This window comes from Homo sapiens, chromosome 15, assembly GCF_000001405.40.
Source record: "Homo sapiens chromosome 15, GRCh38.p14 Primary Assembly".
Taxonomy (NCBI): Eukaryota; Metazoa; Chordata; class Mammalia; order Primates; family Hominidae; genus Homo; species Homo sapiens.
In genome coordinates this window covers 66,720,512-66,743,952 of record NC_000015.10, presented here as the reverse complement: position 1 = coordinate 66,743,952, position 23,441 = coordinate 66,720,512, and the positions used below count along the sequence as shown (strand labels likewise).

At 49.6% G+C, this 23,441-nt stretch overlaps 1 protein-coding gene across 3 annotated transcripts in view, besides 3 other annotated features; it reads right to left on the bottom strand.

Moving 5' to 3' along the window:
• Window positions 1–23,441, bottom strand: part of SMAD6 (SMAD family member 6) — an 80,614-nt gene that overhangs the window by 38,897 nt on the left and 18,276 nt on the right. The window lies entirely within an intron of this gene.
• Window positions 892–1,392: an enhancer, noted in NCBI's record as "H3K27ac hESC enhancer chr15:67034899-67035399 (GRCh37/hg19 assembly coordinates)". NCBI's record gives its function as "activates a minimal SCP1, AML or CMV promoter by ChIP-STARR-seq in primed H9 embryonic stem cells {active_cell/tissue: H9 hESC(primed)}" and the evidence as "EXISTENCE:reporter gene assay evidence [ECO:0000049][PMID:30033119]".
• Window positions 9,360–9,860: an enhancer, noted in NCBI's record as "H3K4me1 hESC enhancer chr15:67026431-67026931 (GRCh37/hg19 assembly coordinates)". NCBI's record gives its function as "activates a minimal SCP1, AML or CMV promoter by ChIP-STARR-seq in primed H9 embryonic stem cells {active_cell/tissue: H9 hESC(primed)}" and the evidence as "EXISTENCE:reporter gene assay evidence [ECO:0000049][PMID:30033119]".
• Window positions 21,135–21,635: an enhancer, noted in NCBI's record as "H3K4me1 hESC enhancer chr15:67014656-67015156 (GRCh37/hg19 assembly coordinates)". NCBI's record gives its function as "activates a minimal SCP1, AML or CMV promoter by ChIP-STARR-seq in primed H9 embryonic stem cells {active_cell/tissue: H9 hESC(primed)}" and the evidence as "EXISTENCE:reporter gene assay evidence [ECO:0000049][PMID:30033119]".

Here is a 23,441-nt window from a genome sequence, read left to right as displayed (position 1 = left end):
AAAGTCACTGCAACAACCTAAATATCCAGCCCTGGGGGATTGGTTAAGTAAATATGGCATGGAATACTAAGCAGCCATCAAAAATCACAGACTATGTGTTGAATTGAAGACAATGTTTTCAGTATTGCTAAGAGAAAAGAGCTACAAAACAGCTATATGAACTTTTTCATTTGGCTGCATAGAGACCATTTCTACTTCCCATATTTTGCAAAGAAAAAGGATGACAGGAAAAATAACATCCAAATAATTTTAAGAAGAATAATATAATTATTTTCTTTTAGGGTGGTAGCATTAAGGGTAATTTGTTTTTCCTTTGTGCTTTTCTTGTTTTCTAAATGATCCACATGAATCACGTACTGCTTTTTAAAAAAAAAAAGGAAAGAGGAAATGCTATTGAGGTAGGGCTTGGGCCCAGCTCCTTCACTAACTGGCTGGATGAACAAGCCATTTAATATCTCTGAGAGCCTCTTTTCTATATAATGAGGGCATCAGTGACGAGGTATGGGCATACGTGATCTCATTTTACACTCACAAAAGCTTTTTCAGGTATGTACCCATTTTACAGATGCAGAAACCGACTCCATGCCAGCCCAGAGGGCCCTCCTCACCATTCAAGCTCAGCTACTCCAAGAGAATGCAGTCCGAGTCAGCCTTGTGAGACTGGCTTATTGGGGGGTGCCCTGGGAGATAACTACCCAGCCCAGAGCCACCCTTCTTCTTAGAAAGAAAACTCAGCTGCCACTCTCACTGCAAACTGCAGGGAGCTCTCAGGATCCCACGAGGAAAAAGGTACCGGAGGGGTCTCTGGCTGGTGGGAGCATCCATCCATTCACTACACCTTCCCTGGGCAGCTGCCACATCAAGGGCAGGGTGACACATGGCAGGGCGGGGCTATAAAGGACCTGTTATTTGACAGAGGGGGAAACTGAGGCCCACAGAGGGAACGGTCACACGGTCAGGGCACGGACCACCACCACATGCTAACTGTGGAAGGGCAGCTGTTCTGGAATGCTGGACTCCAGGTGGGGGACTCTAGGGAGAAGATTTTGGGGCTGAAGATTAAGGGAAGAACCCAGTAAGAGCACCCAAGCCCAGAAACAAAGCCAGGCCTCAGGCCAGGGAGCGCAGCGGGCAGTCTAAGCAAAGGCAACGTCCACCAACCTCCCTGGCTTCCTTAAGGACAGCTCGGGGCCTGGGAATGGGTGCTGATTGTGGACAGGGTCAGAAATGCTGGTGGTGACCCTGAGAGCCATGAGCTTCATTATGAGGGAGTACGTAGCCAATCAGCTACTCCTTCCCAAAAATGGGGTCAATTGTGGCTGAATCCCATTTTCAGAGCGACCAATTACGGTCCAGAGGGGCTGGCTAGACCTCATGGGGCCTCAAGACCACAAACATTGAGGCTGCAGAGGATCTTGTACAGGGTCTCACTGCCAGGGAGACCCAAGGGTGAGTGTCCTGGCCAAGACCACCAGACACACCCTCAGCCAGGGCAGGCGCACTGGGAAGAAGCCCATCCCTTTCATTGACAAGGTGGAATGAAAGTAACTTGTTCCCGCGCCCTAAGACTGTGACCCTCACAGAGGCCTGTCTGTTAGGGGTGAAGCTTCCAGGTACCCCAAGTTGCTCTGAGGGAAACCAGACATTGGTGGGATTATAAGGACCAGAGGGCACGCGCTCAGGGCGGTGAGGGGATGCTGACTCCCATGAGAAGTAGGCTGAGAAAGGGGAGAGGGGCTTCTCCAGGGTGCGGAGCCACCACTGTACCTGTGTCGTGGCTGTAAGATGCTCAAATTGCCACAAGAATTCCATATGCTGAGGCTTAAAAGGTCACTAGCTCTGAGTAAGTGACTACCCGCCTGCTCACAGTGTGTGGGGCACTGGGGACAGGGAAAGGCAGCAAGACCTCCGCTGCCCTGGAAAGTTGCAGGGAAACAGGGCAATCTCTCCCCCAGTCTGGCTTCCTCCTCTCAGAAAGTTCTCATCTTCACTCATAAAGGGCCTGAAAACCTGATGCTGTCAGCAGGGAACCCCAACCAGGAGAGCGGCCTTGCAGCCTCAGTAGCCTCTGTACATAAGGGTCCAAGTCAATGCCTCAGGACATGCACCTGTAGGGCTGCCCGGAGGGACCGGCAGCAATTGGAATCTCTCGGGGCATTTGAGTGAGGGAGTGGTGACAGCTGCAGAATGTTGCAAATATACTAAAAACCACTGAACTGTGTACTTCAAAATGGAGTTCTGTGCATTTAATCTCCCTTTTCTAAATTGCCCCAAAAATGTACACTCAGAGGCCCTACCCTAGAGATTCTCTGATTAGTGAGCCTGAGCCCAGGAACCTGCATTTAACACATGCTGCAGGGATGATGGTTCCCAGTCAGGGTTAAAAACTCTCAATCCCAGGACCCTAGTTTCCATATAACATTGGGTCTACAAGTTATATGTCCTCCCACCCACCTCCTCCTCATTTTACAGATGGAGAAACTGAGGCCAGGAGCAGGAAAAGGACCCAAAGTTCCTGTAGGAGCCTAATGAAACACAAACCTTCCCCACCTAAGAGCAGGGTCTGCTACAGAGGCGAAGCCCCTCGGCAATCCACCTCAAACGTGATGGATTTGAGGGTGGGGTTTGAGGCAAACCACCTCAAATGGGGTATAGTAGCCCAATCTTCTGGCAGATGAGGGAGGGTTGGGGAGGGCCAGGGATGGCCTTTCTTGTCTGGTTGCCCTGAACAGAGAGCTGCTTACAGGGCAAAGGCATCCACCATCTCCCCACCTGGGCCCAAAGAAACCAGAAGGCCAGAGAAGATGGAGATTTTTTTTTTATTATTGTTATTTTTTAAACACGAATTATTTCCAGCCGGAAGGCAGAGGGATGAGGGCCATTGGAGGCCTCCGGCCGCCGGCACCCAGCCAGCCTCGTAAATGTCTGGCAGCTGGAGGGAGACTCAGCTCATTGCTATCGAAATGAGCTCGTTCCTGCTAATTTCCCTGGCTCACCAACTGATGTATCCAGTGTGTTCCCAAATCTCCAAAGACATTTCCTAAGCCACCCTCCAGGGATCTCAGAAAGTCATGAGGTGTAGGTGGGAACTTCAGGGTGGCCTCAGTTTCCCCAACCAAAGTGTGGGAGGAAGAAAAGCAAGCAAAGATCATTCACTCAACTGTAGTTGAGTCAACTATAGTTCTGGCCAACCTTTACCCACTGGGCTGCTCATTCCTGTGGGTGAAAGGGGAGATGGCAGGATAAAACAGTCCCACCGCTGACACTCAGAATAACCCCCATCCCTTATCAAGCACCCAACATGTCCCTAGCACAGTACTCAGCACCTGGCATATAATCTCTTGGTTTTCACAAGAACCAGGCAAACGGTCCACTATTTTACAACCCTTATTTTACAGAAGAAACACCAAGACTCAGAGAGGTTGAAGAATTTGCCCAAGGTCACACAGCTAGTGAATGGCAAAGTGTTACTCTAAAGCCAGGCTCTGCAAAGAAATCAAGAAAAAGAGGCCAAACATGGCAGGATCGATCCCACCATGCCATCTCGCCAGCATGTACTAAGGATCAGATGTGTCTCCTTCTCGGGAGTTCAGAGAGGATGGCAAATACCCACTGGCCACACCAAGCTGGGTGACTAGAGAAGGCTTCCTGAAAGAGCCTTCAATTCATGCCCAGGGCTGCAGAAGCTCAAAGAGGGGAATGGATAATGCTGGATGTCCACAGGACTGGGCAGGATGTAGCATAGCCAGGAATGCACAGGGGAGGACTGCCAGGGTGAGTGCCACGGCCTGCCATGTGGGCAGACCCCACCTCCCAGCTGGGGCTCTTTCTCCCACCTGGGAGACCAGGTGTCCAACTCACAAGCTAAGAACTCAGCCCTAGTAGATCCATAGACCAGAATAGAACGCAGCCATCAAAAACAATGTTTATGAAGAATGTTAATGACACAGGAAAATATTTACGTAATGCTGAGGAGAAAAGGCAGGACGCAAAACTGTATTTTTTAACATAACAGCCAGGTGCAGTGGTGCGTTCCTGTGGTCCCAGCTACTCGGAAGGCTGAGGTGGGAGGAGCGCTGGAGCCTCATAGTTCGAGGCTACCCTGGGCAACAAAGCGAGGCCCATCTCTTAAAAAAACTAATTAAAATTTTTCTTTTAATTTAAACAGAATACAGCAAAATGTTAACAGTGGTTATCTCTGGACAGTCAGATTATGGGATTTCCCTCCCCGCATCTCTTTGCACTTTTCTCAGCTTTCCAAGTTTTCCCTAATATGCCACATGCTTCTTTGCAAAACAAGAGCAAATAGGTACAAGTTTTCCCTAATATGCCACATGCTTCTTTGCAAAACAAGAGCAAATAGGTATATTTAAAGCAAACCACAAAGATGCCACTGCCAGCCCCGTGCCCCCTCCCCTCCGCCAACACCTTCTGCACCCCTCACCAAGGGCTCTTAACAATGCACACCTGCAGTCCCTGAGTGGCTCTTGACGGCCTGCCTGCCCACCCGTGCTCCATGTGGGACAGAAGGGGCTCTGTGTTGGCAGTTAGAAGGCCTGGGTAAGGCCAGGCACGGTGGCTCACATCTGTAATCCCAGCACTTTGGGAGGCCAAGGTGGGCAGATCACGAGGTCAGGAGTTCTAGATCAGCCTGGCCAACATGGTAAAACCCCGTCTCTACTAAAAATACAAAAATTAGCCAGGCGTGATGGCAGGTGCCTGTAATCCTAGCTACTTGGGAGGCTGAGGCAGGAGAATCACTTGAACCTGGGAGGCGGAGGTTGCAGTGAGCCGAGACTGCACTATTGCACTCCAGCCTGGGTGACAGGGCAAGACTCCGTCTCAATAAAAAAAAAAAAAAAAGAAGAAGAAAAAGAAGGCCTGGGTAAGGTTCCTCTCTTAGAGCCCTGGGAAGATGGACACATAATGCTAAACATTCACTGGTCACCTCTAGTGTCCAAAAGGCTGCAGGACAGCACGATCCACACCCGGGTCCCATTTGCAGCCAGATGAGGGCCTTAGCTACTCTCAGGTGATACAGGACCCAGAGAAGGACGCCTGTGAATGCACTGCAGTGACTCAAAGATACCACCTACACAGTCTCGGCCTCCACCATCCATGACCTTGCTCCAGATAGATGCCCTCAAACTGCCAAAGCATCCCTCCTCCATTTCAGCCCACCCATCAGAACCCGCTCTCTGGCCCCCGACACAGCCACTCCCACACCCACCCTGTCGCTTGGAGGGGAATTCATGGCAGACACGCTCCCTGGACAAAGCAGGGTTATTCGTAGACATTTGGAAGCCTGGGTGCAACATGGAAAAGTGTTTAATGTGACGTAAGGTGAGGAGGGCAGAGAGGAAAATGTTATCTTCTCTGCCACTGGGCTGTGATCAAGTGGAAATATGTGCATGAGACAAGAAATTGAAGGACAGAAAGGAAACTGGGCATGGCGGTTGTGGAACAGGCAATATTTTTCTATTTTCCAAACTTCCTGGAGGATCGTTGACACTCCTCTCACAACCCCCTGCCATGTCCACAGTGACACGAACAGATTCGTGTATGAGAGTGGCACGTGTGCACAGCCCCAGTGTCCTGTTCGGAGCTAAGCCTGGAGTATGCACCCGCTGCACACCTCCAGCTGTGCTTCACCATCCTCCCTCGAGCAGCCTTCCCTGGCTCCATGGGCCTGTCTGTCCTGGGATTGCCTGGCCCACAAGCGTAGGAGCTTCCCACGGGCAGGGGGCTGTTTTCTTCATCTGTGTCCCCAGCTATTGGTATAAAAATAGCCTCTCAGTGTACATTTTCCACAGGATAAAATATGAGGCTTTACAAAGCCATTCTCCCTTTGCAAGATTCAAAGAGTTCTGTGGATAGATGGTGGTGATGGTAGCATAGCAATGTAAATGTCCTTGACGCCACTGAACTGAACACTCAAAAATAGTCCAGAGAGTCAATTGTATCAGCCTTTTTATTATTACCATAGAGCAGGTACCCCAGGGTTCCCTCTCCTAACCAGGGTCCTCACCCTTCTCCTCCTCCCAACCCTATTTCAGAAGGGAGGAGGCGGCACTCCTCACTTCCATGTTTATCCAGAGTGAAGTTCTGGGAAGTGGAGGCTCAGCTCCGCGTCACTGGGGCTTGGGTCCCAGGCTCTGGGTTTGCCACACGGGCCTTTTTCCACCTCCCCAGGCCTGAAGCTGGAATTGCATGACTTCCTGGCTCACTTGCTTTTTTTTTTTTCCTTTTTCTCTAAAGTCGTTATAAACCTGTTTACCTTTGGGCTGCAAAGGGCCTAGGCTCCAGGCAAACAGAACTTATATGCCAAGGAGGAAGTGGTGGGAAAGGGGGATCTCTCCAGGGCCAATGGGGTGAGGAGGAAAGACGGGACCCCACTCACCCAACAAAACCCTTCCTCCTTCCTCCAATTCAACACCCATGTGCCAAGTGCCTACACCATGCCAGGCACTACCGTCGGAGGTGGAGAAGTACTGAGCTAGCAGCAAAGTGGGTGAGCCGACCCGCGCTCACTTCTGCTAGCAGAGTGCTACTCCTGAAGCCTGTGCCATGAGTCAATGAAGGATGGGGTGGCCAGCTCTGCTGTGGGGTCAGGCTCCAGAGAGAGGTGATATGTGTGGGACCTTCAGAAGGAACAGGAGGAGCCAGCCAGATGGGTAAAACCAGCCTGGCAGGGCATTCCAAGTAGAGGGACTGGCAAAGGCTGTGAAGAAGCCTAGCATGCAGGCAGTTTGGGGCAGAGCCTGTGTGCCAGGCTGACCCTGGGCCTGCTGGAGGCAGGGACCCGGGGAGGATGCTGAAAAGAGAAGTGATGCCAGCTCCTCCGGAGACCTGTGCTCTCTGCCTTCCCCCTTGGTTTATTCCTTCCCAAATTCATGAACAATGAGAGCTGGAGGCCCAGGCCGATGATCCTTGGCCCTGGGTGCATGTTAGATTCACCTGCAGAGCTTTAAAAAGGAACTGAGGGAGCCAGGTGCAGCGGCTCATGCCTGTAATCCCAGCACTTTGGGAGGCCGAGGTGGGTGGATCATGAGGTCGAGAGATTGAGACCATCCTGGCCAACATGGTGAAACCCCGTCTCTACTAAAAATACAAAAATTAGCTGGGCGTGGTGGCGGATGCCTGTAATCCCAACTACTCAGGAGGCTGAGGCAGGAGAATCACTTGAACCCAGGGTGGGGCAGAGGTTGCAGTGAGCCAAGATCACACCACTACACTCCGCTCTGGTGCCAGAGCGAGATTCCATCTCAAAAAAAAAAAAGAGAAGGAACTGAGGGGGAAGGGGAGAGTGTCTAACAGGGACTCTGATGTAACTGGTCTGGGGTGGAGCCCAGGCATCAATATTTTTTCAAAGCTGTCCGAATGATCCTAATAGGCTCTGCTGTCAGGCAGCACCCTCATGAGGCCCTGGTGAGAGAATGCCTCCAAAAACCTTTTGTTAGTGCTGTACCCATCAGGGGTGAAAAACATAAGCTTCGGGGTCAGCCCCACCTCACTACGAATCTTAGCTCCACCATTTACAAGATGTGTAACCTAGGTAGTGTTATCAGACAAAATATAGGACGCCCAGTTAAAATCTGAGTTTCTGATAAACAGCAAATCACTTTTTAGTATGCGTATGTCCCCAGTATTGGATGGGACACATCACGCTACAACTCATGTGAAACTTTTTTCATTGTATTCTGAAATTCAAATATAAATGGGCATCCTGTTTTTTGTTTGTTTTTGCTAAATCTGGCAACCCTACACCTAGAGCTGGTCCTTTAACTTTCCTGAGTTTAATTTCCCCATTGGTATCGGTGAAATCACCGAGATGGAAGAAGGCAGCAAGATGCTTGGCATACGGCCAGCACTCCGTGGGTGGCTTTGCTTCCATCCTCCTCAGAACTTTGTTCTAGTAGAGGTTTTTTATTTTTTAGGAAAAATTTCAAGCATCACCAAAAGTGAAAGAATAGTAACAATAAACCCCCATACACCCATGTCGCGGATACCGTGACACACCCTGTCCAGGTCCTCTTCGCCTCTAGCTACTGGGAGTTTTGGGGCAATGGCTCACAGATGTCCCTTTATCGGGAGAATTGTCCTGGGTCAGGCAATGATGCCTCCCTCCAATGTGGGGTGTGTGTATGTGTGTGTGCATGCACACGTGCCTGCTTGTCTGCCTACAGCCAATGACCAACTGACATGGAACAAAGGGCTGGGCCCCACACCTCAAAGTGTGACCATTCAGAGGAGCAGTTCCCTCTCCACGTCCCCAGGGATCAGGCTGAGCTGGACTCCAGTGGAGACCACATTCTTGCTGCCCCATCATGCTCCCCTCATTCCTTTCTTCTGAGAACACGCCCCCCAATAAACTTTGTGCATCTGAATCCCATCTCAGGCTGTGCTTCTAAGAACCCAACCTAAACTACCTCTCACCCAGATTCAACAGTTATCAAGATTTTTGCCACACTTGCTTCATCTAGCCCCTTTTATTTGGTGTTTGGCTTGTTTGTTTTGGCTGAAGGACCTCACATCATTTCCCCCTACATCCTTCATGATGCATCTCTAAAAAAATACAGGCAGTTAAGTTTTGACTTCCTTCCCTGATTGCCCTCCCAAAGGAGAAGGCTCTTGTTGGGGAAAGAGTCATAACTCCCAACAGTGCCAAGGGACAGAGACCAGAGGCCAAATAGGCAGGCACCCGGCCATCCACTCTGGCTCCCACCCAGCCCTGGACTATGGTGTGGCTTTGGTGGCCAGCAGGCCATGGTCACCTCAGGTCCCACCTCTTTTGTGTGGACCAAGAGCTCTGGGATGGTGTCCTGGCATCCTCATCATGACGCTGCCAGGGCCTGAGTTTCTCTGTATCCTAAAAGCAGGGGATGGCATGAAAAGGCCGAGCTGGCCGTGGCTATTCTGCTGGCCACAGCCCCCGCACACCCTTCTGCTGGGACCCTGGGCGGTCCTACCTGCTGGGAGACACAGCCATGAGGGTCCACACTCTACCATGCCATGGAACCTGCTACGGCAGGAGGCAGCATGGAAGGCACAACAGCTTTTATTTAAAAATATGGTAAAATACACATAACATAAAACTTACCAACTTAACATACATAGTTTTAATGTGCATAGTTCAGTGGCATTAAGTACATTCACAATGTTGTACAACCACCACCCTATCTAGTTCCAGAGCTTTTTCATCATCCTAAATGGAAGCCGTCTACCTAATAAACAGTCACTTCCCATCACACCAGCTTTTGAGTTTGGGGAAAAATTGGGTTCTCATCGCAGCTCTTTCACTTGCTATCTGTGTGACTCTGGTAAGTAAGTGAAACCTCTCTGAGCCTCAGTTTCTTTATCTGTAAAATGAAATAACTTATAGGGTGTCATAAAAGTCAAAGCTAAAGGGTAGTGCCAAGTACTTAGAGCAGCTCCTGGCACTGTTAAATAAATGCCAGGCTAGGGCCTCTCCGACTAAAAAGGCTCTTCCCCTCCCTCGACCTCCGCTCCCTGCTCTGTTCCCCCTTCAGTTTCCCGAGCTGTCTGCAGTGACCAAGGGAGAGGAGGTTGCTTCCCTCTCCCAGAGGCAGGGCGAATGGAATGAGCATTAATGCGTTCCAGTGTTTTCCCCTTGCCATGCCCAGAACCCAGTTCCAAACCAAAGAGTTACAAAGGCCTTTAAACTCCACACTCAGTACCGCGGGGTGAGGTCAGCCAAAACCCGAATTTCCAAGCACAGTGCTTTTCTACTCTGAAAACAGCCAAATGTGAACTGGCCACTCCTGAGGGTCAGAGCTCCCGGAAGAGCCTTGGGCCTCCTGGCTGCAAGCACTGATGGCCGCCTCTCCGGCCTCTCCCTCCCTCCCGGCTGTGGAGTCGCCTCCCAGTCACCATGCTGGGTTGCCTTTCCCAGTCCAAATCAGGGTGCAGGACCCCAGCTCGGGCACAGGAGACCTGTCCTTTCATCAGCCTCTGTGCAACTGCAGGCCAAGTGCCCTGCCCTGTCAGTTCTGTAAAATGAGGAAAGGATTCCCCATGACAAGGACTCGGCTCTCCTCCAAATCTCCCATCCTGCAGTTTATGTGAACATCAGTGCCCAAGCGGGATGGGACCTCACCAGGTCTTTGAATCCAGTTTTCTCCATTGCCTTCCATTTTACAGACAAGAAACTCACACCCAAAGGCTGAGGCAACTTGCCCAAAGTGTCACATTTGTTTCTGGGAATCCAGAAGAAATAAATAAATTCTTCACTTTACAACTCTTCCCCTGAAAAAACACACTCAACACCAAGCATCCAAGCCATGAAAGTCCTATGCATATATGGTCAGTATATAAAAATCAATTATATTTCTATACACTAGCAATAAATAACTGGAGAATGTTTAAAAGTAACATTTACAATAACACCAAGAAACATGAATTACCTAAGTACAAGTTTAACAATAATGTGCAAGATCTGTGTGTTGAAAACTACAAATCATTGATGAGAAAAATCAAAGACCTAAATATATGGAGAGATATATTATGTTCATTGACTATAAGAACCAATATTGTCAAAATGACAATGATGCTCAAATTCATCAACAGATTCAATGCAATCCCAATCAAAACCCTAGCAGGCCTTTTTTGTAGAAATCAACAGCTAATTCTAAAATTTATATACATATGCAAATGCCTAGACTAGCCAAAACAACTTTGAAAAAGACAAAAGACTCACATGACCTGATTTCAAAACTTACTATAATAAGCTACAGCAACCAAGACAGTGCAGTATTGGTAAAAGGATAGACACGTAGACCATGGGACAAAGTTAAGAATCCAGAAAGAGAACCACACATATATATCAACTATTTTAGACAAAGTTAATTCAAAAAGAAAAGAGTAGTCGTTTCAACAAATGATACAATAATAGAACAACCTCTATATGAAAAAAAAGAACCTAGACTCATATTTATACCTTATAAAAAATTAACTCAACATGGATTATAAACCTAAATGTAAAACCTAAAACTATAAAACTTCTAGAAGAAAACATAAAAAAAAAATTTCTGTCCTTGGGTTTGGCAGAATTATTCATATAACTGACATAAAAAGCATGAAAAGAAACAACTGATAAATTGAATTTCAGCAAAATTAAAACCTTCAAAAGACTTCATTTAAAAAAAGACAAGACACAGACTGAGAGGAAATACTTGCAAAACACATATATTTTAAATGGCTGCTAACTAGAATATGTAAAGAACCCTCAAAATTCAATAATAAGAAAACAAACAACCCAATATTTAAAAATTGGCCAGGTGAGATGGCTCACACCTGCAATCCCAGCACCATGGGAGGCCAAGACAGGAGGATCATCTGAGGCCAGGAGTTCGAGACCAGCCTCGGCAACATAGCAAGACTCTGTCTCTAGAAAAATATATAAAATAAAATAAAACTTGGCCAGATACAGTGGGACACAGCTGTAGTCACATCTACTTGGGAGGCTGAGACATGAGGATCACTTGAGCCAGGAGTTCAGGGTTACAGTGAGCCATGGCTGTACCACTGTACTCCAGCCTGGGTGACAGAGTGAGACGCTGTTTCTTTGGGGGAGGAGGGGAAGTGCAAAGATTTGAACAGACACTTCACCAAAGAAGATATACAGATGGCAAGTTAGCACATGAAAACATGTCCAACATCATTCATCATTAGGAAGGTGATTTAAAACCACAAGGCCAGGCATGGTGGCTCATGTCTGTAATCCCAGCACTTTGGCTGAGGTGGGCAGATCGCTTGAAACCAAGAGTTCAAGACCAGCCTGGCCAACATGGTAAAACCCCACCTCTACAAAAAATACAAAAAATTAGCTGGGTGTGGTGGCGCATGCCTGCAGTCCCAGCTACTCGAGAGGCTGAGACACAAGAATCACTTGAACCCGGGAGGCAGAGGTTACAGTGAGCCAAGATCACACCACTGCACTCTAGCCTGGGTGATGGCACGAGACTCTGTCTCAAAAAAAAAAAAAAAAAAGTCACAATGAGATACTACCGCTTATGATTAGAATAACTCAAATAAAAACAAACTGATCATATCAAGTGCTGGGGAGGATATGGAGTAACTAGAATTCTCATATACTGCTGTTGGGATTGCAAAATGGTACAACCACTTCGGAAAGCAGTGCCTGTTGTAAAGTTATATGTACTTTCAACCATATACCCAGCAATCCTACTCCTAGGCGTTTACTCAAGTGAACTGAAATCCATGTTCACACAAAAATCTGAACACAAACCTTTGTAGCCAAAAAAACTGGAAATAACCCAAATGTCCATCCAAGAAACAACATGGATGAATCTCAAAGCAGTATACTAGTTTTAAAAAAGGTACAAAGGGCTATTTGCTATATAATTACATTTGGAAGATGGTCTGGAAAAAGCAAAACTATAGAGACAGAAATCAGATGGCTGAATGCCAGCAGCTCAGGGTTGGGGTTGGGCTGACTACAAAGACTCACCAAGGAACTTTTTTTTTTTTTTTTTGAGACGGAGTCTCGCTCTGTTGCCCAGGCTGGAGTGCAGTGGCGGGATCTCGGCTCACTGCAAGCTCCGCCTCCCGGGTTCACGCCATTCTCCTGCCTCAGCCTCCCAAGTAGCTGGGACTACAGGCGCCCGCCACTACGCCCGGCTAATTTTTTGTATTTTTAGTAGAGACGGGGTTTCACCGTTTTAGCCGGGGTGGTCTCGATCTCCTGACCTCGTGATCCGCCCGCCTCGGCCTCCCAAAGTGCTGGGATAACAGGCATGAGCCACCGCGCCCGGCCTCACCAAGGAACTTTTAAGGGTAATAGAAATGTTCTCTATCTTGATTGTGCAATAATGGTTACATAATTATAAAAATTCATATAATAATACACTTCCACAAAATTTTACTGTATGTTGATTTTATCTTAATAAACCAAAACAAAAACAACAAGCTCTACACAGCCTCATGAGGGCTTCTCATTTCTCCACCCAGTCTCTGAGCTCACTGATAGAATGTGACAACCATTCTGGCCCAGAAAATAAAGTGACTCATCCAAGGACACAAGCTCTGGAGGCAGGCAGGCCTGGGTTCAAACCCCAGCTCTGTATTTACCAGCTTGGTGCCACTGGGCAAATTACCTCTCCCCTCTGAGCCTCAGTTTTTTCATCTATCAAGTGGAGATAAGTTACAATAGAACTCGTCTTGTTGGTAGGACTAAATAAGCTTAAGGAACAAGAAACAGCACAGTGTCTGCCATCTGTTTTGTACTCATCTTTTAGCCACTGTTATTACTACTCCTACTGCTGTTGTCATTATTACTATGAAAAAGCCAGGACTGACTCATGGGTAATGACTCCACACCATGTCCTCCTGCATGAGGTGGGCCATGCTAGGCGCCAGGGCCACCAGTTTCCTGGTTACAACCTCAAGACACAAATGCAGACCAAGGTCCTGCCCAAAAGTCACTCACAGTCTGACTGGGCCAGCAGATAAACTCAATGCAAATTCAATGCACTACAAGGGAGCAGTATAGAGATGAAAGCCACTGAAGGTTCAGAAGAGAGAGGCCACTGTGGGCTGTGCAATCCCTGAAGGCTTCCTGGAGAAGGAAGGCTTTTCATGAACCTTACCGACAAATCAGATGTAACAAAATCAAAGAAAAGAAGCTGTCAGAAAGAGAGGAACCAGCAAATCCCTCTACCCCAACTTCTCCCCAATGACCCAGCCTATCCCTCCATCCATCCCTGTCAAAAGACAGTGGGCAATCCGCATCCTTGGCATTTCCTTCCAAGGAACAGCCCTGCACCAAGGAGAGGTGCAGGAGTGAAAACAGAGAATCCGCACACCATGCATCAGCGGGGCACCCACATGTGTCCCCGCATCTGGGCAAGAGGGTCTGACGGAGGGCTGGTCTGGGATCTCGGGCTTTAACTCCCTCCCCACCTTCTTTTTCCATGGACCTGAATTTGAGTTTGTCTGGCGAGTGTTTTCTTAAGCCCAAGTGTTTTTCCTGCAGCCCAGGCCCACCCCCTCCCCGCCCCTTCTGCGGGCCCAGGCCCTCGTCTGGAGCAGAGGGCTCAGCGAAATGCTGACTGGCCCGGCCGCGGTGCCGCCTTTGATGCACACCACTCTCCAGACTTCAATGTCGCTGTGTGCACGGCCCCTTTAATAAGTTATTTCCGTGGAAAACCCTGGTAACTCGGTCGTGAATCAAGCCTATAAACACCTCAAACCCATCAAAGCACCCAAGAAAGGGAGGGGGCGGGCCAGGGAAGAAAATCCCTTACGGTAACTCACACAGTGCTCCCTCAGAAGGGCCTGGGAGTCCACGCTGTCAGAGGGGCCCGGCGCCCCCTCGCCTGGGGCCCAGCCAACCGGCTGAAAACACCACGCTGTCACCCTGAAATCCAAGGATCCAAAGCCCCAAAGGACACTGCCCGTCTGTGTGTCCTGGGGACAATCTTGACCCAACTCCCAGCAAGATTTACAGCCCAGAGAGGCAGACCCGGCCGGCTGCTCCCGGGGTACAGGAATGTAATGTTTTGGCTACCGGTGAAAGGCCCAGTTTATTGGAAACACACTTCTTTTCCAATGTTTAGTTTCCTTTCACTCTTTTCTCCTTTTTGTTTTTCCCAGAGTGCACTGCCCAGGGCCTTAGGAAAGGACATTATGGAGCTTAAAATCCGGCCTCAGGGGTGCCGGGGGATGCAGGGAGATGCAGGGAGACGCAGGGGGACAGGACTCAGTTTTGTCTGAGTAGCAGGATGGCCACCACCTCCGTGTGGGCAGAGGTCCTGGACGCAGAGAGGGGAGATCCTGCTCTAGGCCGAGCTCTGCCACTTGGGAACTGGGGACCAAGCACAGGCACTGCCCCTCTCAGGGCCCCATCTGTAAGAGGGTAAATGAACCAAATCCCCTCTAGAGGGGCTTCTGACTAAAACGCTGTGGTCTTGGAAAACAGTCTGGCACAGTATCTAATAAGGCTGACCACACATATAATGTAGAGCTCAGCAATTCCACTCCCAGGTATGTACCCAAGAGAAGTATGACCTTGTGTCCTCAAAAAGGCTGGTATAAGGTATTGATTGTAACATCATGGGTAGAAACCAAAAGCTGGGCACTATCAATAACTGGAAACCATCAGTAATAGAATGGATATGTTAGACTAGTAGAATCACAGTCCATTCCCACAGAATATTATCTGGCAGTGAGAATGAGCAATCGGCAATACACAACAACAATATGGATGAGGCCAGGTGTAGTGGCTCACACCTGTAATCCCAGCGCTTTGCGAGGCCGAGGCGGGCAGATCACGAGGTCAGGAGTTCGAGACCAGCCTGACCAACATGGGGAAACCCCATCTCTACTAAAAATACAAAAATTAGCTGGGTGTGGTGGCATGCTCCTGTAATCTCAGCTACTCAGGAGGCTGAGGCAGGAGAATCGCTTGAACCTGGGAGGCAGAGGTTGCAGTGAGCCGAGATCACATCACTGCATTCCAGCCTGGGCGACAGAACCAGACTCCACCTCAAAAAACAAAAAACAAAAAAAAAACAAAAGGATGAATCCCACGAATATTCTGTTGAGTTAAAGAAGCTATATTCCAAAAAGCCAACAAGGTATGCCTCTGTGTGCATCGGGTTCAAAAACCAGAAAACTACACGATGGGGTTAGAAGTCAGGATAGAGCTGAGGTACACTTGGGGAGTGAGGAGTGGCTGAAAGGGGACATGAGAGGGGGCTTTTGAGGTCATGGTCTGTTGCTTCATCTGGGCTATAGTGACACAAGAAAGCTCACTTTGGCCAGGCGTGGTGTGGCTCACGCCAGTAATCCCAGCACTTTGGGAGGCCAAGGCAGGTGGATCACCTGAGTTCGGGAGTTTAAGACCAGCCTGACCAACATGGAGAAACCCCATCTCTACTAAAAATACAAAATTAGCTGGGCGTGGTGGTGCATGCCTGTAATCCCAGCTACTTGGGGAGGCTGAGGCAGGAGAATTGCTTGAACCCAGGAGGCGGAGGTTACCGCGAGCGGAGATCGCGCCATTGCACTCCAGCCTGGGCAACAAGAGCAACACTCTATCTCTAAAAAAAAAAAAGAATGCTCACTTTGTGAAAATTGTTCACATGTGACATCTGCACTTTTCTGCATGTATTATGTATTGGTAAAAAGTTTACATTAAACAAACAAAAAAACTCTACACTTTGGGGCCATATAAATCCATTCGCTAAGCCCACAGTCATCCGTGTATCAATTAAAAGGATTTCTGGGATGCCCATCCCTAACCTACCAGATAGAAGTCCAGCCCTCCCTGAAGTGGCATTCAAGGCCCTCTCCCTGTGGGGCTCATTCCTTACTGCCCTGCCAGAATCACTCCCCATTCCCAGAACAAGTGTCCTCACATCTTCCTGCCTTTGCCCAACAGTTTCCTAAGCTGGGATGCCCTTTCCCTGCTTAAGCCTGGTGAAACCTTGCACCTTCAAACCCAGCTCTGACCCCAGCCTCCCTGGCAGCCGCCCTGGCACACTACTTATTGGAGAAACAGCATTTATGGCTGGGCACAGTGGCTCACACCTGTAATCTCAGCATTTTGGGAGGCCAAGCCAGGCGGATCACTTGAGGCCAGGAGTTCGAGACCAGCCTGGCCAACATGGTGAAACCCCATCTCTACTAAAAATACAAAAGTTAGCCGGGCATGGTGGCGCACGCTTGTAGTCCCAGCTACTCGGGAGGCTGAGAGAGGAGAATCACTTGAACCTGGCAGGCAGAGGTTGCAGTGAGCCGAGATCATGCCACTGCACTCCAGCCTGGGTGACATGGTGAGTGAGACTCTGTCTCAAAAAAAAAAAAAAGAAGAAGAAGAAAAAAGAGCCAGCACAGTTCACAAAAGAACAGGCTGTTTATCCCATGTATGCTTATGCCCAGAAGTAATCAGGCACCGGCCAGGGGCTCTGATACAGAAAGGACTCCTGCCTTGAGTGGGAGACAGTCTGGGGGCTCTGCGATCCTTCCAGGTCCATCTAGATTTGGGTTCTTAGCCCAGGCTGCGCATTAGAGTCACCTGGGGAATTTAAAAAAAAAAAAATCCCAATGCCCAGTCTAGCCCCAACCATTTTTGGAATGGGGTCTAAGCTTTTCCAAAACTCTTCACAGGATTGATGTGCAAAGAGGGTGGAGAACCAATGATTTGGACCAACTGACCCATTTATACATGAACAAGCCCAAGTGGAAGTAGTTTGAGGCCACCAAGAAACAGGGAACAGAGTCAGGACTAGGAGCTGGGCCTCCTGGCCCCCAGGTAGGGGTGGTGCTACCTTTAGACTCAGAGGAAACCTCTGAGCTCTCTCTGGCCTTCGCCCTGTGAGGGAGAATGCAGCTAAGACAGCTGGGCAGCCAGGTAGCAGGAGACAGGGTCTGCCTACTTAAGAGCCTGGGCCCTCTCTCCACCCTCCTCGGCTTCCCTCTCAGTCAAACAGCACAGGAAGCCCCAGAGATTTCATCACCTAGCCCCCCAACCCCAGTCAGAGTCTCCCTGGGCCTGAGACAGACAATCCCAGCTGAGAGAGTCTGGTGGTGTGGAGATGCCTTGGCCTCTCTGTGCAGTCTGTCCTGTTTTATTTTGAACCCTCAGAGGGAAGGGGCAGTGGACCCCTCTGTGAATCACAAACATAACCCCAACGCCTACTACACACCAGACTCTGCCCTCAGAGCCAAGTCCCCCAAGCCTCATTCCCAACATCTGCCCTCAGGGAGCAGCCTAGAGTCCTCACTTTGGAAACAGTGTCTCCTCCTCCCCAGTGATCCCAGGGTGGGGGGCAGGTGCAGAGAAGGGGCCTGGGAGTGACCCTGCACATCCCTCGGGCCCAGTAGCCTCCTCAGGGGCCAAACCTGAGGTCCAGAGTGGATGTGTGGTTTGCAGACCACACAGCCACTGGGTGGCAGGGCCAGGGACATTTCCCCTGAATGTCATACATAAGGCAGTGGGCAGGAGGACTGAGGAAGGTAAGTGAAGGGGTGGCAGGTGGGGGAGAACCAGTCCTGGGACACTCGGAGGACACAGGCCCTGAGGGGCTAGCATGGCCACCTGTTCTGCAGCGGTGCCTGCTGGGTGCCCCATTTCACCTCATTTCTCCAAGGAAGCTGGAGTCAGACAGCTGTACCCACTCCAACCCCTCTCCCAATGCTCCCCACTGATGACATCTGCCCAGCAAAGCCCCTCACCTTAGCTGTCTCCCATGGCTGCTGAGGAGCCAAATGGTGCCCTGCCCCTCCCAATTTCAGCCCATGTGACAGAGCTGGCCTCCCCTCCTTCTTCCCCACCTGGCATGGAAGGCCTCCCAGCCCAGCTTCTCCCTGCTCTGTCCAGCACTGGCACTACCCTGGACAACTCAAAGAGATCAAAATGACTTCCAGATCCCTATCTGTGAGCTCCCATCTCTCCTTTTAAAGATCAATTAAAGTCTTGGCAATGATTCACCTTGCAGTCTGGATGGTGGCTTTGATGTCCGCTCCAGACATGAGACCTCTGTTTTTCCAAATCTAGAAACTGCTACCAAATGGTGAGGGTAGGGTCCCTCCCTGGGGCCAGAGCAGCTCCTGCTTTGCAGAGATGCCAGCCCCGAGGTCTTACCCTTTCTGGCAGGGGGTGCCAGGTCCTGACTGGGGGGCATGGGGAAACGGGCCATGAATATCAGGAATTCCTTCCACAAAGGACAACTGGGAAAGCAATGCATCTCTGCTTCCCTTGGCAGCCAAGGGCCATGGAGGAAAAATGTTTAATATAAAAACATCTGACAAAGTGCCTTCAGGATATATTTTCTGCATCAAAGAAGTAGCTCTTGGCAACAGCCACTCTACCCTGACAAGGAAACTTTCGAGCGCAGTTCCCGATTGTTACAGACGCCCAGGGAAAGCATGCCAGTGGGGATAGGAGGAGGGGGACCCTAGAGCCCGGCAGGCAGATGGTTGTGATTAGGCTGGACGCAACCAAGTACATTTTCTGGAATTTAAGGTCTCCTCAGACAACCTGCCGGTTCCCCTGATGATGCAGGCCGCCAATGTATAGTGAGGGGTAGGGGCCATCTGCAGCCAGCCCTGGACAGGCACCCGACACCCTGCCTCGCCAGCAGCCTCCCCTCAGAAACCCACCCACCTGCCATCTCACTCGTCATTCATTTATCCACTCAGCAACCACCCAATGAGCAGAGCCACTGGGGGGCTTGGGGTGATCATTGTTCATGCTGAGTCTCAGGTACCCAGGGACACAGAAGCCCCAGAAGCTCAAGAATCATGTTTGTGTCCTGAATCTTCCAGGGCCAGCAAGGGTGCCTTATCAGACACTGAGGAACCCAACAGACTGCCTGGGTTCCAATCTCAGCTCTATTGCTTTCTTGCTGGGTGACCTTGGGCAAGTTACTTAACCTCTCTGAGCCTGTTACTTCTTCCTTTAATATGGCTAATAAAAGTGGCTACCTCAGAGTGGTTGGGAGTAGCCCATGAATAAATATATTTATGGCACTTAGAGAGTACCTGGCACAGGTACTCTGTGTTAGCTGTGATCATTAAATATGTGTGATGATCTTTCTGTCTTTAAGGGCTCTCTCTGGATCTCTTTACCCCAGGCAAAAATTCATTCATTCATTTTCATTCATTCATTCATTCATTCATTCCACAATGACTCCCTGGCTGTGAGCTAGGCCCAGTATTAGAAGCCAGATGAGGTCCTTCAGGACCAAGTATATCCCAGGGTTCCCTGGTATCCATGACCATGATCAGCTGTTTCAGCTCATTCCTCTAGTGTTCAGGACAGCCTCTCTGGATTCATCTTTCCCCATTCCTCCATCTCTCGCTTATTTACTTTCTAGCCACAAACTCTTAGAACATATGGTATTAACTGCATGCCTCCTTGCTTTTGCACAAGCTGTTCCTCCTACTTGAAAGGTTATCTATAGCCTGTTGTCCTCTTGGTGAACTCTTAGTCATCCTACAAAACCCAACTCAGAATCACCTTCTCTGTGAAGGTGAATGCCCCCTGAATACTCCATCCCCACCCCAACAGAGTTCCCTGCTTTGAGCACATCTCTAGGGCAGCACTCAGCATGATCAGTCACCACTGTCTGTTTGCTGTCTGCCTCTCCTCTAGACCAGCAGCTCCTAGAGGGGAAGGTCCAGTCTTTCTCCATTTTCTATCATCTGCCACTGGCATGTAGTAGATTCTTTTTTCCCCCTTTTTATAATAAATTCTTCTTTGTTTTTAATTTTTATGTTTCTTACTTTTTTAGAGACAGGGTCTTGTTCTGTTGCTCAGGTTGGATCAGAGTGCAGTGGTGCGATCACAGCTCACTATAGCCTCCAACTCCTGAGCTCAAGTGATCCTCCTACCTCAGTGGCTGGGACTACAGGTGTGTGCCACCATGGCCAGCCAATTTTTAAATTTTTTTAAGAGGTAGGGGTCTTGCTATGTTGCCCCCGGCTGGTCTCAAACTCCCAGGTTCAAGCAATCCTCCTGCCTCAGCCTGGGATTACAGGCACAAGCCACCACACCCAGCTGCAGTAAGTTCTGAATAATAAATGTTCAGTACATTGACTTGTCATTCAAAAGCCCACACTCAGGAAACACAATAGCCCTGAAGTCCTTTGTCTGAGGCCATGGGGAGTCTAAAAGCTCTGTTACCTCTGATGAGTCAGTTGCCCTCTCTGGACTTTGCAAGTATATCCCCACTGCAGCCCCCAAGCTTTAGTGCCTTGGGATGGAGGGGTGGAGGTCCAAGACACCCATCCCCTCCCTCCTCATGACTTTGTTCCATGCCACAGTTTTGCTTTTGGCCAACGACGGGAGAAGCTAAGATGCCCCAGGAGAGAAGCCCTAGCTCTTTGACTACTCCCCACCCCAAGGCCTGGGAGCTGGTACTTACAGCCTGGAACACATTAGCACCAAGGAGCCCCTGAGATCAGTGACCCAGTGGACCCAATATACAGCTGAGCAAACTGAGACTAGAGAGGTGAGGAATTTGCCTGTGGTCACATGGCAGGAAAAGGGCACAGCTGAGCCTAGAAACCACTCTGGCACACTGCCCACCATCCCGCATTGCTTCTTGGCAGACACAGGTTGGCTGGGCCCTCCTTCAGCTGTCTGTTCCCCCAGGACTGCTCTAGTCACCCCCATCACTCCTGCCGACCCCCCCTCACACCTCTACCCAGCCCAGGAAGAATGGGTCCTTCTGTAAGATACTCAGGAGGTGTTAGGAAAGGAAGGCATTTCTTTTCCCTTTGGTTGGTCAAAGCTAAAAAGACACATGGCGAGGGATTGATGTGAGTAGTAAATACCATCCGTTTGGAACTGGAGCTGAATGCTCCTTCTCCCCCACCCATTTCTGAGTTGGAAATGGCAGGGTGGTGCTGGCCACAATTGGTATCAGTCTGGCAACCTGTCCACTGCCTCTAGGCTGGAGCCTGACCCCTGGGGATAGGCAGAGTGGGCATGGGTCATGCCTGAGGGCCACCTCTTAAACCCAAAGGGACCGGGCTAGGTTCAAGTCTGATTGTTTCAGAGCACCATTCACCCAGATGAAATGCCCTTCCTGCTCTCCAAAACTCAATGAAATGTTCTTTTCAGCTAAAACATATCCCCTGCCCTCCTGCTTTCCCTTTGAAACCACTCTGCATACAGCACCCCAGACCCACAGGCAATGAGCACTCTCACGTGACAGGCTTGAGCATCGTCATGTGATAGCAACTTTCCGCAGGCCCTGCTATTGGTCAGGTGTGATCAGTCTGTGAAAATTCACGGAGCTGGCACTTATATGTCCACTCGGCATGTTTGGATAGAAGTTTTTTAAAAAAATCTTTCCCAGGTCCTGGTCTCTGCCCATCTTTTCTCCCACCAACATCTGGAGCTTTGCTTCCCAGTCCCTCGAAACTCCTTTGGTTTCTCAACATCAAGTTCTTTTCACACCTCCAGGTCTTTGCATCTGCTATACCTGGAATGCTCCAAATCCTGTCTTTCTGACTTCCATTCATTTTTTAAAAGACATCGCCTCTTCCAGGAAGCCTTCCCCAGCTACCTCCCTACCACGCCAAGAGTTGAGAGTTGATCACTAATCCCTTCTTCCTCTGGACCGCCTCTTGTTATTGTTTGTGTCTTTACCTATCTGTGAATACCTTGAGGGCAGAAACAATGTAACTTTTATCTCTGTGCCCCTAGCCCTATGCACAGTGCCTGGAACACTGTGATGGCCACACCCACCACATGCAGTGTGACAGGCCTTGGCTGACTCACAGGCATCATCTCATTTAACCCTCACCACTAGGGATATGTTGTTATTATCAACCCCATTTTACAAGTGAGAAAACTGAGGGACAAAGCAGCTGAGTGGCTCTCCCAAGGTCACACAACTAATAGATGGCCGACTCAGGGCTTGATTGCAGGGCCCACTGGTGCAGAGCCCATGCTCTTCAGCCCACCACAGCTACAGGGACTCAGAACACACTGAATGGACTGAACCACACACCCTGGAACACGGAACTCTCAGAGTCTGTTAGATGAGGGTGTTGTTGGACGAGAACACACTTGGTCCCTGTAATCAAGAAAACAGCAGGAAATGACACCACACACACACACTCCTCTCCCAGCTTCAGTAGGCACTGACGATAACACCAGACAGCACCAACCCCAACGGACCCCGGAAATGGGCAAACGGCAGGCACAGGTGCTACCGAGTGGCAGGTGGGTAAGCAGTGTGGATCCACCTTGGGTTGCAACCCTAGGTGGGTCCACGCTGCTCTGCTTGCTGTATGGCTCTGAGCCAGTCTCCCAACCTCCCTGAGCCTCTGTTCCCAAACTCTGCCAACTTACACAATGCAACAATCTACAAAATGATCTGCGCCCTCAAGGAGCTTACAGTCTGGTTGGTGGAGGAAAGATACCCACATCCAGCTCAGCCCCCAACTCTCCATGTAGCCTACTGTTGCTCCCTTCCTTCCCCTGGCATCCTCCTTTCTAAACTGAAGGGCCTGCTCTCACTAACACAGCTCTAAAGAAACCCACATGCTGTGAGGACTGAGATACCAGGCACAGAGGGCCAAGGTTCCAGCAAGGACTGCGCGATCCCAGTGATGGGCAGCTTAGACCATGCCTTACACATAGCTGGACAGTGACTGCCCAGCTCCCACCCTGAGGGCCCTGCCCAGTGTTCCATAACAAGCGTCCCCATCCCCTTCCCCGTGCTAGACCCTGGCAGGGGTAAAGTATCTCATTTAACCCTCACCATTAAGGATATGTTTGTTGTTATTATCATCCTCATTTTACAAGTGAGAAAATGGAGGGACAGGATGCTTAATAAAGCACTTGAATGGTTATCTTACAGGCACTAGAATAAGACAGCAGAGGGGAGCTACTGGTCCTAAAGAAGCTTGCCCAGTGTGCCGCCTCCAGCCCCACAGCA